We start from the raw sequence: 15,757 nt of genomic DNA, 5'->3' as shown, positions 1-15,757 counted from the left end.
TTTACAGAACTTACTGACTATTTGCCTCTTGCAGCGGAAGTCCCTGGATGTCAGCCTTCTGGTGGGAATTATAAGAAGCATGAGCCCCAGGGCTCCTTTAATCTCTCCCCAGCCAGAGTCCACATATTTTCCCCCATGTTTTTTGGGTGAAAAGGCCTTTCAGAACCCTAAATCCGTCTGGTTTATAATTGTTGCTGGGCTGCGTCATTCTAGTCAGAATCTGGGAGGATGCCACCATACGTAGAGGAGGCCATGAGGGTTTCACCTCTAACATTCTGTAGATATGGCCTGTTTATATTGTCTAATGTGAGCACCTGATTCTGAGTAGAAAGAACAGTGCCATTGGGTTAGTGGAATGCACATTTGGTGACAGAGGGAAGGAGGCCCTGGGTGGTCCTCAGGAAGGATCCTGGGCTGGGGGTCTCCAGGCTGCAGCTATCGACATACCGTGTAAGAGGAGATGGACTCTGCCCCTGTCTTTTCAGAAGTCTAGGGGAGGGAGGAGGAGTTTGTAGAGACTGATTCTTGGTAAGGAAGGATGTGAGCAGGAAGGTGCAGGCTCTGTGCTGGAGCAGTCACTGCCCCTTCTCAGCCAGGCCTGAGCCCAGGCTGCTCGGACAGCTGCTTAGCTCTTCAGTCCATGAGACCCTGGGAGCTTGTGGGCTTCACTCACCAAACCCCCCGAGCATCAGCCCAGCAGGCATCCTCCCTAGTTAATTCACCTGCCCTGCTCATAACAGTTTGTGAGTTTTGGTGAAACTAATGTTTTGTGATGCTGTCTTAAGGTTGTGGCTGGCTTGCAGCCACATCTGTCTTTAAGAAAGAAACCAGTTCCTCCACTTGTCGTGAGCTCTGAGGCAGTTGGGAGTCAAGCAGTCACTAATTATTCAGGGTGGTCGCTGGAGCACTGGACACCTCACCTTGAGGCAGCTCACTGTGTGACGGTGCTGGGGGAGGAGTGACACAGACTGGACACCCTGATCCTTCAAGGGGCCTTTGTTTGGGATCAGCTGCATCATATTTTGGGTCAGGGATTAAAATGCAGTGGCGGAAGGCTGGGTCAGGCACCTCCCACAGGACATCAGCTCTTCCCAAAGCAATCCTGGAACAAGAGGATTTGGGAAATGGAGTGAGGGAAGCCCTGGTTCAGGGGCCCAGGGTGAGACCTAGAGGGCCTCTGCTTCAGGGATCTCCAGCTCCAGGGAACCAACTACATTGCTAGCTCCAGCCCATCCCTCCTCAGTGTTGTGGCTTTGGGAAAGTCACTCAGCCCCTCTAAATTTCAGTTTTCAATTGTAAAATGTGGGTCACAGCTCTGCTCCACCCACCCCACAGGGCTCATGTGAAGGTCACAGGAGATGACAGCAGATCCCCTTGAGGAACTATAAGGCATCCTGCTCATATAAAGGCTGCAAAGAGACCTTCCACCTTCCGCGTCTGGTAGCCAACCAGGTTTCCTCTCTGGAGGCAACCACTGCTATGTGTCTGCCTTAATCCTGCAGATGCTTCACATTTGAACACTTTTATAGCACTTATGAAGTGCCAGTCATTTTTCTTCAGGCTTAATATGGATCTGCTTAGAGTAAGCTTCAGAACATAATGCTAATAGGCAGGCCCCACTGACATCTCCAATGTCAGGGGGTGACGTCGGGGCTAAACCTGCTGTCTGTCCAGGTGCCGACTGGGATGCCTCTGGGAATGGGCAGGAGATTTCCTTGACCCTAGATCACTTTTCTGGCATATCCCGTATTTAAACCTTCATGATCTTGTTGTATCTTTGAACCATAATCTTAAGAAAATATATTCAAGGACTGGCATGGTGGCTCATGCCTGTAATCCCAGCACTTTAGGAGGCTCAGGCAGGTGGATCACCTGAGGTCAGGAGTTCAAGACCAGCCTGGCAAATATGGTGAAACCTCATCTCTACTAAAAATACAAAAATTAGCCAGGTGTGGTGGCGGGGCACCTGTAATCCCAGCTACTCAGGAGGCTGAGGCAGGAGAATTGCTGGAACCCAGGAGGCAGAGGTTGCAGTGAGCTGAAATCATGCCATTGCATTCCAGCCTGGGTAAAAAAAGTGAAACTCAAAAAAAAAAAAAGAGAGAGAGAGAGAAAAGAGAAAAAGAAAGATTGAGAGAGAGAAAGGAGGGAAAGAGGGAGGGAGGGGAAAAAGGGAGGGAGGGAAGGAAGGAGGGAGGGAGGCAGGGAAGGAGGGAGAGAGGAAAGGAAAGGAAAAAGGAACGGAAAAAGGAAAGGAAAGGAAAGGAAAGGTCAAAATAGAGACCACTCTTGACATGTTGATGGCAGGAGACCATGAACAAGTGTTAACAATCTTCCCAGGCCACACTTCGATTCACCAGCTGCCTAGGGGAGCAACTGAGTCAAAGTTGGGCTTAGGATGGAGGGGTCTGCAGTGTGGTGAGCACTTAAAATACACAACAGGCTGATTGTGTCAGGACGTTACTCCAATGAGAGAAGACAATTCAGGAGGACAGCTGAGCTCAGTGACTGAGAGAAGGGACAGGTGCTTGATGGCCTGGGCTCAGATCCTACCTAGAAGCTGTGTGACCCTGGGAAAGTGACAAAGTGACTAACCCCTCTGTGCTCAGTGCTTGATTTCCTTCAAACATTTTTTTTAAGTAGGGTTTTGCTCTGTTGCCCAGGCTGGAGTGCAGTGGTGCCATGGTTCACTGCAGCCTCAACCTTCCGGGCTCAAGTGATCCTCCCATCTCAGCCTCCTAAGTAGCTGGGACTACAGGCATGCACCACTATATCTGGCTAATTTTCAAGTTTTTTTGTAAAGATGGGATCTCCCTATGTCTCCCTATGTATTTGGGTCCCCTGCACCCTGACAGCAGCTGGGCCTGACCCACGTGATGCTTGGGACAGTCCTTCTGTGGAGCTTGCCAGGCCTTGGTGTTTGCTCTGCCCCTCCCCAGGTGGCTGGGGGAAGGAAAAGGCAGTCACATGAGGAAGGGGAAGGAAAGGCAGTCACATGAGGCCTCCAGCTCCAGGAAAGAAATGTTCATGCCTTGTCTCAGCATGCCAGCTGCCCGGGGAGGAATGGCCAGGGGAGCCCAGCCCCTGCCTTGCGATTGGCTGTTTTGAAGGTGGGGTGCTCCAGCCCCAGCACCCCCGTGTTCCCAGCGGGCCCTGTGGGCCTCACAGCCACCTGGGCCCTTGGCTGCAGCCTTTCCTGAGCTGCCAGTTGAATAACCAATGGCCTGTGTGTCCTCAGAAGGGGTTTGGGTGGGGACTTGGTTTCACAATGGGGCTTTCCTCTCAGGTGCCTCTGGTATGAAAAAAATTCCTTTCCCAAAGTGGTCTTGGGCACCTGTGTCCTTAGGAGCCTGAGTCCCTTGCCCTGCAAAGGCTGCACCTCTCTTAACTGCTGGCGGCTGCTGTCTGCAGGGGCCCTGCTCCAGCTCTGGGAAGTAAGCAGGGTTCCCTCCTGTCCTCACAGGGTTGTGTAATGAAGACACCCACCCAGCTCTGCTGCTCTGTGCCTTCAGAGGGGCCTGAGCCAGGAGGATAGAGCTGGGCTTGCAAGCCCCGGTCTGATGTCCATGCTGCAGAATGGCCTGCCTGGCTGGGAGTGACCAGTCACGCAGACTCTAGTGCAGGGAACTGCTTAGAGATCTGCCTTCCTAACTTACCTTCCTGTCACAAGGGCCATGGGCTCTACTCTGGGGAGAGACGCTGAGGCCACCACCCCAAATGAAGGCCATGGGGAGTGGTGCTGGCCTAACCGTGAGAGGCCCAGGGAGGACGGAGGCGTCTGAGTGCATGGCGAAGCCAGTCCCAGCAGTGCTCCCGAGAATGGAGGAGGTGGGAGCCTGGAGGAGGCCCGGTCCCCACTGCCTGCTGTTCCTTGCCATGAGGGTTTCTGCCCTGGGCAGGGCCCTGGCTGCTGCCCCTGCCTTAGCATAGAGAGTGGGTCCCCCTTGGGGATGGCTTTTGCCTGGCTGTAGCCGAGCCTCGGCATGAAGGTCCTGGGGCTGACTTCATGACTGCTCTTCATATGCCCAAGCCAGAGGCCCAGGAGCTCCCTGTCCCAGGCAGGGGGTCACGTGCTGCCCGCCTGTTCCCTAGTCACACAATGACATCCCAACCTCCTCCGTCACATCTCTGTGTCAGCACAAGGTGGCCAGAGCATATCTGCCTGCCAGCTCCTATCCCTGGGCCTCAGGGGCCCTGGCAGCACGTGTGGAGTCCCTGGCCCATGTGGGGCTGCCCAGGAGTGGGTGGGAGGGAAGGCCTCCTGGCAGGGGCTCCTGGCCCAGGGCTTGCTCCTTGAGCCGCCAGGTGGAAAGAGGGCAGCTGAGGCCCCTTGATGCGGAGGCCTCTGGGATGCGGCTCACTGACCACTGCTCTGCCTTTCCCCTTCCCGGGACCTGAGGGGACCCTGCCCTTTCCTGTGAGTCAGGCTTCAAAGAGCTGCCCCTGAGGGTCTGAGCACCTCTGGGAAGCCCCAAGGAGGCTCTGGATGTTGTTGGCCATGAAGCCGAGCTCTCTCCATGGTCACTGACTTAATCAGGCTTTGAATATGAAGTCAGGAATGACCCACAGAGCTGCTCCCAGGACCAGGGAGACCATGGTGACTTTATCACAGTAGACTTAACAGCTGCAGCAACTCTTGCTACTCTAAATGACACGGCACTGAAACCAAATGCCAGGAAGCCGGGGGGAGGGGGAAGAGGGGGAGGAGGGAGAGAAGGGGGTGGAGGAGGAGAAAGGGGTGGGGGAGGAGGAGGAGGAATGGGAAGGAGGAGGAAGAGGAGGAGGAGGGTGTTAGTAGTGGCTCTGGCAGGGCTGCAAAGCTGGTTGGGGAGGGGAGTCAGGCACCCCAGAGGGAGGGAGGGGCCCGTGGGCACGGGGGTGCTGGCCAGGCAGGGACGGACTGGCACCTGCAGGAAGGACAGGGGCTTGGCTGAGCAGAGCATGGCCAGCCTAGCCGAGGGCAGCCAGCATCCTACACTCACTGGTCTCGAGGTGCCCAAGCCAGGGGCCCAGGACTTTGGGCATTACTGGGAAATGATGGGAACCCAGGGTGAGGTGGCGTGAAACAAGATGAGATGGTAAGATCTGCTTTCACTTTAAAGGAATATTTCTGGTTGTTGCTTGGAAAAGAAATGTCAGGGGCAAGAATGGTGCAGGAGGGCCGGCCTGGAGGACGGGGTGGGACTGCAGGGCGAGGGCAGGAGCCTGCGCTGGGTCAGGAGCCTGCGCTTACATCGGAGGTGGCTGGGAGACCCTGGCTCTGGGGCAGAGGCCTGAGTAAGGGGGCCTTGCTGGGGATTTGGGGGCCTCTGCGTGCTGGTGCCTTCCCGCCTCCATTCCTCTCAGCCCTGATTAGCTCTGTCTTGGAACGGGGTAACTACCTTTATTCGAGAACTTGGGGCAAGCCCTGGGCTATTCTGAAAACTCAAGCATATCGTTTTGATTTCTCCACCTACAAGGAGCCCCAGGCTTCCTGAGACCTTGGGACACAGCAGCGCCATAAACTGCTGCCCCTCCCAGGCCCAGGTGTTCACCCCAGGCTAGGGGTAGGGCTGGGGCTGCACCTTGGAACCTACCCTCCACCAGGGTTGTGGGGACTTCCATGCAGCCTCAGTGGGAGCTTGCCTGTCACCTGCGGCCCAGGTGGTGTGACAATGACCTTTGCCCTCCCCCTCCTTCCCACAGGTCCCGCAACTTAGCTGTGGAGACAGATGGCAGTGGCAAGAGGCCGCTGCACGTGAACAAATGCCCTCCCCACTCCGCGCACCCCCTGGTGGCTCAGGAGACTCTATAGCCTGGGGCACAAGTGGCCCTTGAGGTGATGTCAGTGCCCAGGTGCCTGGGTTCCTATGTCCAGGGCACCTGCTCTGTCGCTGAAGGCTCTGACAAACTCTCAAGTGTCCGGGGAAAGAGACGCCCTGCTTCTTTTTCACAGCCTCCTGGTGGCCCTAGGCCTTTGTTACGGAGGCTCTGCCAAGGTGCACATCTGGGTCCCAAGTAAACACCTAGAACTCAGAACTCCAGACATCAGGCTCCATGTGAAAATCCGGGTCCAGGAAATATGGGTCCCAGGAAGTCCTCAGTCACCAAGAAACACTCAGGCCTCAGTTGGCTATCCAGTCCCAAGTTGACACCCAGGCCTCAGGTGAACACCAGGCGCTAAGAAAACATCAGGCCCCAGCTGAGATCAATCCCTGGGTGGTCGCCCGAACCCGACCTAAATACCAAGCCCCAGGTTGACATAGGGCCCCAGGTCACATTAGGCTCCAGGTAGACACTGAACTCTAAGTAGACTTTAGGCCCCATGTTCACAGCCACACCTCAAGAGGACACCACACCCCAGGGTAGCTGTAAGACTCCATCCAGACACCAGTCCCCAGGTGGAGAATTTGGGCCCCATTGGATATCAGGTTCCAGGTAAACACCAAACCCTAGTTGGGTATCTAATCCATAGGAGGACATGAGGCACCAGGTTGGCACACAGCCCATGCATAGATACCTACAGCACAGGTGGACATGAGGCCTCAGGTACATACCCAGCCCCCAGGTGACTATCAGGGCCTAGGTGAACACCAGCTCCTAGATGAACATCGGGACCCCAGTGGATACCCAGGCCCCTGGGAAACATCAGGCTCCAGGTGGACACCAGGACCCATGTGGGCAACCAGGTCCACAGGTACATCAGGTTCCACACGGACACCCAACCTCCAAGTGGATACCGAGCCCCCAGGGGTACACACCAGTCCCTCAACAACCGAAAGGTCACATATTCTCTGGCCAAATGCAACACAGTCCTCTCCCCCAAAAATATGTACTTGGGAAACTGAAAAGTACACTTCTCAATCATTCTCAAGTCAAGGAACTCTTAATAGAAGGCCAAAGACATACCGAAAGAACAAACCATGAAACTCCCGCATCCAACACGAGTGCAATGCTGCTCAACTAGTCCCAGAGCAAGACCCACCACAGGCTTTGCATGGAGGACACCAAGCTAATTTGTTTTTTTTGTATTTTTAGTAGAGACGGGGTTTCACCATGTTAGTCAGGATGGTCTCGATCTCCTGACCTCGTGATCTGCCCGCCTCAGCCTCCCAAAGTGCTGGGATTACAGGCCTGAGTCACTGCACCCAGCGAGATATGCGTACATTTTTAAACATGTCAAATGTGAGATGCAATATTTCTCATAGATTAAAACAAAACACAAACTCAAAATCAGTAATATTCTTCACATTTCAAAATATAATGTATTTTGCTGGATTACCACACTCTATGCTGTTATCAAATCATCATTTTTGTACTCACAATATCAATACATCTCAAAATATGAAAGTATGTATCATCACAATTTCCGTCCTACTCAAAACCTAATGGCCTGGCCATGGGCTGATACAGTAAGCCTTCTGTGACTCAGATTTCTTTGATGTAAAATAAACAAATTGGACTGAATAATGGCACTGGTCATTTATTCCACATTTTACAAAACAGTTTTTAGAATAAAAAGCGTTAAGTCCTTGGTGATTCTGAAATAGGTTACATTTGACAAGTGATTTAAACTTCTATGAGACTTGAATCATAAACCCTAAAAAGGGAGTAACGAGATAATGACATAATAAACACATATTGAATGCATTTTTTAGTAAGTTCTCTCATTTAGTCCTCATAGAAACCTTAAAACAGAACTATTGTTAGCCCAATACTGAATCTAAGATTTGAAAACAGTATCCGATTTGCTAACTTATCAAAAGTCCTAATAATCAATTAACCTTCTTTCTTGCAACAAAGTAATTTTTTTGACATTTTCATATATAAATTTTTTTCCCAACTATAATTTTGGATTTATGTACAAGTACACAGATACCACCTTACTTTTCATGTTTACCTTGAAGGGTAGAAAACAAAATCATGTTTTATAAATGTGGTATAAAATTCCACATGTTCTCATGGTGTCATGTCAATAATCCACTACACTAAACCAACTGTAACAAGGTAGTGTATGCTTTAACCATCCAATTAAGAATAAATCTGAGCCAACACCTTGATGACATGGGAATGTGCTTCATGTTAAACTGATGTGGCAGCAATCCAAGGGACTAAGCACATGATTATTCAAATTAAAAAGTACAAAAGGTGTGGATTTTCTGGGCTACATCACAGAATATTTGGTGAAACCATAATACAGACTTGAGTGAAGGGGATTTTTAATAGATAACAAGTAATTCTTTATAGTGATTTGAGAAAGTATGAGAACATATGAGAAAAGCGAGGTAATTTAAGATTTACTTTTGTAAAACCATGTGGACAAAGATTAAATGTTATGCTTGCATTTTTGAACATTATAAATATAAAACACAAAACATCCAACGTTAAATAAATACTGATCTCCCATGACTGACCTGGGTTTAGATATTGAGTATTTCCCATTTTATAGAAAGAAACTTTCCAAGTTTTGTCAATAAAGTATATACTATTATTCCTCACCAAAATCTTCATGAAATTTAAAAGGCTGATATTAAAAGTAGTTTTTTTTTCTCAAATACGCTAAAACATGTGAGTTTGGATTAACCTTCAGATTTTCAAGGCACGAAAGATACACAAATAGAGTACCCAAGAATATGTTTTAACACATTTAGGGTAAGTTTGTTTACAGTTGTGACAGGAATACCTTTAACTTTCAGGCATTGAAGAAAAATACCCTAAGCAAACATAAAGGGTGTTTTGGGTCAAGTTACTTCTTAGTACAAATAATACATTGTATCAATCAGTTTTTAAGCCAAATTCTTAAAATCATTCAAAAAACACTTGCATTTTATAATTGTCAAACAATGCAGTTATGTAATAGAAGATACAACAAAATTTAGAAATAAAAAATCTCACACTATATTCCAAGCATCCAAGTAAGAAAGAAGAAATTTGCAAATTAAGGAATTATCAATGTTGCTCAGAAACATGCCTTACTTTTACTCTGAAATTCACTTTAACTGCTTGACATATAACTTAATACCTAAAAATAATATAGCTAAGTTGTTTAATAGTATTTATAGAATGTTACTTTTCTGGGTAGACATGTTTCACACAACAGTTTTCAACTAATGCTGAGCATTCATTTAATAATTTTAATCAATTTGATTCACTGATTAATAATTTATTCAGTAATTTAGATGCCATAAGAATCACTGAAAGGAATAATCTGATAGTTGCTCGTTGTAAAATCCTGCCCATTAGTAATACTAAGCCAAGAATCTGATCGCTATCCCACTCTGTTGAATTACATGTTTCCATGTGTGTGATTTTGGTCAACAACAAAAAAATCGATACACAATGTCATGCTTTTTCCTTTTCCTTTTTTTTCTTTTTAACAAACAGCTCAATGATTTGGGAGGTTGGTTAGTGTCAGGCCTCTGAGCCCAAGCCAAGCCATCGCATCCCCTGTGACTTGCACGTATACGCCCAGAAGGCCTGAAGTAACTGAAGAATCACAAAAGAAGTGACTATGCCCTGCCCCACCTTAACTGATGACATTCCACCACAAAAGAAGTGCAAATGGCCGGCCCTTGCCTTAACTGATGACATTACCTTGTGAAAGTCCTTTTCCTGGCTCATCCTGGCTCAAAAAGCACCCCCACCGAGCACCTTGCAACCCCCACTCCTGCCCGCCAGAGAACAAACCCCCTTTGACTGTAATTTTCCTTTACCTACCCAAATCCTATAAAACGGCCCCAAACTTATCTCCCTTGGCTGACTCTCTTTTCGGACTCAGCCCGTCTGCACCCAGGTGAAATAAACAGCCATGTTGCTCACACAAAGCCTGTTTGGTGGTCTCTTCACACGGACGCGCATGAAAGTTAGTACAATACAGAGAACATAGGGAGAAAATATAAAATGGCACTGAACACCAATGCCAATTCTTATCTCATTATGGTTATAATGAAGGATATTATTAATATTTGTTATTTGTTTTTCTTTAGAACATAAATCAATGCCATTAACTTGAACTTGAGGTACATACAAAATACACGCACAACCTTAACTAATATACTTTTCATAAGTAACATCACATTTTAAAATATTGAAAACTGAGTATCTCTGCTGATTTGTATTTTGACTTAATGGAACAAGAAGAAAACAACATTCAACTCGGGAGAGTTATGCTGATAATAAAATTCTTAAAATTCAAAATGTCTTCCTCTCCCTTTGTACTTACCACAGGCTACACAATGTCCTGAGAGGATTCATTAAGAGAAAAATGTCAATCACAGCTTTAATAACTTACTTTGGATAAAACTAATGAGAAAGCAAATTGGAAGGTGAGACTTCATCTTTGTTTTCTTTTTCTTTGACTTTGAAAAAATCTGATTTTATTTTCTGAATCAAAAAGAAGTATTTCATGTTAAATTTAGACTGTTTAGCTTTCCACTATCTCAAGATACTTTCCAGATATTAACAGTACTCAGAACTGTGTAAAAGTGAACAACCAATACCATGTTTTAAAGAAAAAAGTTTCAATGTAAGACTAATTCTTGGGGACATTACTAAATGTATTTCTAAGAAACCCTTCTCAAAGATCAAAGTATTGGCAAGTCTAATTTAAAAATTTATAATTTTTAATTACTGGAAATTTAAGTAACAATAGTTTCAAGAGCTAAGAATCAGATTGCTTTTTAAAACAGATTTTTTTTTTCCTGAGGGATTCATACTTGACAACAACTCCAGTTAAATGTAATACTCCACCCAAATATCAAATTTAAATGCATTATTTCACCTTGGAATAGTAACATTATAAAATGGAATTTCTAAATTACAATATGTATACATAATACACCATTTTAACCGTCACATTTACCAGCAGAATTATTAAAACAACAAATTCTACATTCAAGAGACAAATGATAAATGCTCTTTCATTGTTTTAAGAGTCCATTCCATTCTTTGTTGTTTTCTACTCCCATATTTTAAAATTATGATCAAAGGACCAAAGGCCAAGTCAATCCCATTTCCCCGAACCCAACTGCCAGTAGGCACTGGCCTTACATAGGCGTCCTTTAACAAGCTCCATTTTCAAAAGGTTGGAGGTATTTATGTAAGAACTTATTGCAAAGTGACTCTAAAATCCACATTCCCAAGATCTAGTACAGGCTATTCATGTGTTCTGAGGCATGTCCAACATGCAGGCAAACTTATCTGTTCAAATTGAGGTAAGACAGACAAAAAACACAATATTAACAGAAGCTACATAATTAAAACTAACCTTTTGCTGTTTATTTAAGCTAATTATGTATTCCTACAAAACAGAGACCCTCAAGTCAATAATTTCTTTGATTTTAGTCACCCCCAAATTAAGCCTCTTCTTTCAAAGCCATTATTAGTTAACAAAAGTTTTAAAATGAAGAAAAATATTTTTTCCAGAACCTGTATTTTGTAATTAGTGTGATACAATTTCTTTTTATTTTTCAAACTTAGAAATAAATCATCTATGGGTACTATTTGATATTTTTTTCAGATACCAAGGAATACCGACAGGGTTCATAAATAGGATTTTCTGACACTGGCAGGAAAGTCCGCTAACATTTAGAAAATACCAAAGACTCTTCTTTCAAACTTCAAAGATGGCTGAGAATTAACAGTTATGATTAGTTTTTTAGTACAAATAAAAATTTTAAATCTTGATTTTTTGGTCAACATTTTAATACAGTCAAATGTTACTCTACTTCCAGTTTTCAAATCAAAACAAACAAACAAAAAAACTAATGAAAATTACCCAATTAGCAACAAGTATGGTATTCCAATGTTATTTTTAAACCAATTATAACCTACTGCTAGTAATTATTTGTAAGTACCTGCTTGTTTTATTAAGCACTGGTCAGTTATATAAAAGAATAATTTGCAAGAATGATACTTGGCAATGGGTTACCTTAATGCTTCTGGAATAAACAGAAGCATTAACAAAACACCAGATCTTAAGCACTTTTAAATCTGTAATTTGAATTACCAAAAGGGTTTTTAAATGTTACTTTTCCATTGATAGATTGTAGGGAGTCTAGTCCCAGCTAACATAGTTGATTTTAAAAAACAAATAAATCCCTAAGCCCCATAGTAATGGAATACTACACTTGTGCTTTTTATATCATATGAAAACAGCTCCAGGCAGAGCACAAGTAGAAGAAAACCTGCCAAATCAAAGCACTGTAAATAAAGTTCCTCTACGTACTCCAGTGAGAAAACCTCAAAAATAAAAATCAGAAGACCGCCCACTGTTACCCCCACCACCACCCCAACAAAAACCACCCAAAACACTTTAGTTCTGAACCTAACATTTCCCTAAGATGTTCACAGGAGACGCTTTAAGGTACTTAAAGCTACAGATGAAAGTGCCATACTACAGAGGAAATGCCCTGAAGGGTTCAGCAGCTGCCCACCCATCCCGAACCACCCCCCATCCCAGTAATACGTAAAAGCTCCTGTTAAAGTCTTTTCATTATGCTAATAAAGGCATACCACCTAGCGTGCTAAAGACTACAACTAGCGGCATTAGAGCAGCAAAGTGAAAATAGGAAGCCTACAGGAATGATCTAAATGCCTACTTAGAAGAAACAAAGCAGCAGACAGGACCCTTAGCCCGCTTGTCTATGTAGGGAAGCAGTTGAACTAAATTCAGATTTACCCACATTAACAAAAATTTAACAAAGCTTCCTCAAGACACCAGAATAAAACTTGACCTTTCCAGTCAAAAGGCACACAGAGGCCTCTTCCATGTCCAGGCGTTGAATGAGTTCAAAAGATTGGCAATAAAGGAAAAAAGAAAGCATTACGGGTGTGATGGGAACAAGCTTTGGAGTTTATCGAACAGTCACACCAAGTTTCTCTAGCACACGGACACCCCTTTCTTGGTACTCTTGTCGGGTCATCCAAAAGTTGTCTTTGTCTTTCATGGTATCTGCTAGAACTGCACCACCCATGTGCTTTCTGAGGGGTAGGTCTTCGATGCGGATCTTAAATTTAAAAAGTTTTTCCACATCACCCTTTAAAACTCGTTCTAAGTAAAGCTGTTTAAGTTCTCGTTCCAACCTTGATGACAGGCCAGGATACATAGTAGACCCTCCAGAAAGCACAATGTGTTTGTAGGATTCAGATCAGGTATCAATGTCAGCTGCCTGAATTGTGTTCAAAAGCAATTCAGCAACACCAACTCCTTCAACACTGATCAAGTGAGGCTGAAATAAAATTTCTGGTGCTTCAAATCTCTCCCCTCCAACTTTGATGATATGTCCATCTGGGAATGTATAAGATTCAACTAATACTTTGGTTTCTAAGGCCAGTTTCTGCTCTTGCTCAATATTATATCCCACGTAACAGTTTTTCTTTAATCATGCAAACCGTTTCAAAATCAGCAGGGTGGTTGAAGGCATATCCTCGCAATAGAAGCAACCTGGTATCTAGTTACATCCCTCTCAGCAATATCCAGTCTCCTGGTAAGATGAGGGAGAGAAAAGCCTTCATATACTGGGCAAATATGACTCACACTATCTCCAGAGTCTACCGCTACACCAGTCAATAAACCTTGAGCGTACAAAGTCAGAACCGTCTGGATGGCTACATATACACCGGAAAACTGCTAAGTTTCAAACATTACCTCTACAGTCTTCTCTGTGTTTTTGGTTGGGTTCATAGGAGGTTCTGTGAGTAAGATTTTACAATTTCTGGTATCTATATTAAGTTTCTCTGGTCCAAACGTGTAGTCCCACAGGTTTTTCACGTCATCCTAATTTCTTACTATGCCATTTTCCATAGGGTAATTAACTTCCAACATTGATCGTAATTCACCTGCCTCATCACCAACCATAAGATCCTTGTTCAATGTTTCCCACTTTGGTGGTTGATCTGATAATAGGTCTTCCAACCAAAGCTGGGAAGATGTCTTCTGGAAAGTTAGAGCCTGCATATAACCACACTTCACAAGCCCGGTGCTGTTGTTGTACACCACCACCTTCCTGTCCTGGCTGTCCATCGTCCGCCGCGGGGGAGAGCCGCTACCGCTGCACAACCTACAGCCGCCGCCGCCCGGCCGTTTTCTCTTCTTCCTCCTCCCTCTCCATCTTTCTTTTCAAATAAGTGGTCTTAATTTTTCTTCTTATAGAAAAAGTTTAAATCAGTTTATTATAAATATATCTAAACCATTAATTTTTGCAGCTTTCAGGTAAAGTCCAGCACTTCATTTATACAAAGTCTATGAGGTTAGAAGAGATCATGTAATCTAAAGTCGTGACATCGTCCATTCAAGTCTTTGGCACAATCCCTTGCCAGTTAGAGCACAGCATGCCTGGATATGCCACTAACTGTTATCTTTAATAGAAGGTAGCTTCAAAAACTGGGAGATTTCCGCTACAGTCAGGCATTCTTTAACGTCTCGTTTATTAACAAAACTCAGCAATCCAGCTTTCCTTAGGTCCTCATGCGCTAACGTTTTATAGAGTTCTTCTCTAGTTACAGAAATCATGTGTCTGTACTGTCCACAACTATTATCAACTCTGTGTTAGTATAGTAAGTGTTCCAGGAAGAACGAAAAGATTCTTGGCCACCAATATCCCACATTAGGAAACGCGTATTATTAATCACTATCTCTTCTACATTACTTCCTATTATAGGAGATGTATGTACAACCTCATTCATAGAAAACTGGTAAAGAATGGTAGTTTTCCCTGCATTATCCAGCCCAACAATGATAACTTTGTGCTCCTGGTGATCGAACAGTCTCCACGTTCTGGGGGAAGAAAATTCTCATTCTCGGACAGCAGACCCCCGGCTCCAGACACCCGGGCCGCCTGGCCTCCCCTGGCTCAGGCGGACGGGGAAGAGAGAGAGGCGCTGGAGCCTCCATCTCTGCTGCTGCTCCCGCGCTAGCCGCGGGCCCGCTTCCAGGGAACCGGCGGGAGGCCGAAGCCCAGGCCGCCCTGCCGCGCGAAAGGCCCCGACGCTGCCGCCGCGGCACTGGCCTGGCTCCCGGACATCGCCGCCACCTTGTCTGCGACGAGCCTCGCGGGCCAGCGTCCTCCCCAAGCTCCTCTTGGGCGGCTGCACCAAAGTAATTCTTTTTCCAACACACAAGATCCCTTGCTTACCTAACAGGACCAAATGAAGTGAAAGCATGTTAAAATTCTAATCCACTGCTTAAACATTACAAATTTAATTTATGCATACAAAATTGAATCCATGCCACTCTATCTATACACAACAATGCAATATTTTCAACATACAGTTTTCTGATAAAATAATGCCGTGTCCCACATAATTAAAAAACTATCAAGATTTCTCTTTTCATCAAATAATTTGGCCTATTAAAATAACACAACATAACAGACCATGTGATAGTTTCCCAACATCTTCCTATCTATAAAGTTTGTATGAGATTACATCTCACAAGAAGAAAAGTAAATATAAGTAAAATAGAAGAGATGATGATTTAAAAATCAAAACAGATCATATAAGGGCTTGTGTAAAACTTACAAATGCTTCAACAAAGAATTATACTTTGAGAATTTTAAACTGTTCACATGATATGCTTTGGAAACAGCATATACTGTTAGAAATGTGACTGAATAAAATGATCGAGTAATATAAATGAAAAATGGCCTCAAATCGGTGGTAGTAAGTAACCAGTGTGGAAAACTGGATGGAGAATTAACTGCAATTCAATTATCTATATTAAAATGACTCCTAGATTTCTCAAAGAACTCAAAGTAGAACTACCATTCGATCCAACAAT

The 15,757-nt window shown here is 44.9% G+C and overlaps 1 long non-coding RNA gene and 2 pseudogenes across 1 annotated transcript, besides 3 other annotated features; 1 reads left to right on the top strand and 2 right to left on the bottom strand.

Moving 5' to 3' along the window:
* Positions 3,482–4,380: an enhancer, noted in NCBI's record as "H3K27ac-H3K4me1 hESC enhancer chr22:25092512-25093410 (GRCh37/hg19 assembly coordinates)". NCBI's record gives its function as "activates a minimal SCP1, AML or CMV promoter by ChIP-STARR-seq in naive H9 embryonic stem cells {active_cell/tissue: H9 hESC(naive)}" and the evidence as "EXISTENCE:reporter gene assay evidence [ECO:0000049][PMID:30033119]".
* LOC124905092 (uncharacterized) lies at positions 4,892–9,803 on the top strand. The gene is made up of 2 exons (XR_007068025.1): positions 4,892–5,078; positions 9,364–9,803. It is a non-coding gene; the product is annotated as an uncharacterized LOC124905092 (long non-coding RNA).
* Positions 7,738–15,020, bottom strand: ARL5AP4 (ARL5A pseudogene 4; annotated as a pseudogene).
* Positions 8,854–9,539: an enhancer, noted in NCBI's record as "OCT4-NANOG-H3K27ac hESC enhancer chr22:25087353-25088038 (GRCh37/hg19 assembly coordinates)". NCBI's record gives its function as "activates a minimal SCP1, AML or CMV promoter by ChIP-STARR-seq in naive and primed H9 embryonic stem cells {active_cell/tissue: H9 hESC(naive and primed)}" and the evidence as "EXISTENCE:reporter gene assay evidence [ECO:0000049][PMID:30033119]".
* Positions 9,540–10,226: an enhancer, noted in NCBI's record as "OCT4-NANOG-H3K27ac hESC enhancer chr22:25086666-25087352 (GRCh37/hg19 assembly coordinates)". NCBI's record gives its function as "activates a minimal SCP1, AML or CMV promoter by ChIP-STARR-seq in naive and primed H9 embryonic stem cells {active_cell/tissue: H9 hESC(naive and primed)}" and the evidence as "EXISTENCE:reporter gene assay evidence [ECO:0000049][PMID:30033119]".
* Positions 12,537–14,078, bottom strand: ACTR2P1 (ACTR2 pseudogene 1; annotated as a pseudogene).

Source organism: Homo sapiens, chromosome 22 (assembly GCF_000001405.40).
Source record: "Homo sapiens chromosome 22, GRCh38.p14 Primary Assembly".
In the NCBI taxonomy this organism is placed as follows: Eukaryota; Metazoa; Chordata; class Mammalia; order Primates; family Hominidae; genus Homo; species Homo sapiens.
The sequence above is the reverse complement of the archived record's forward strand: the minus strand, read 5'-3'. Positions and strand labels throughout refer to the sequence as shown.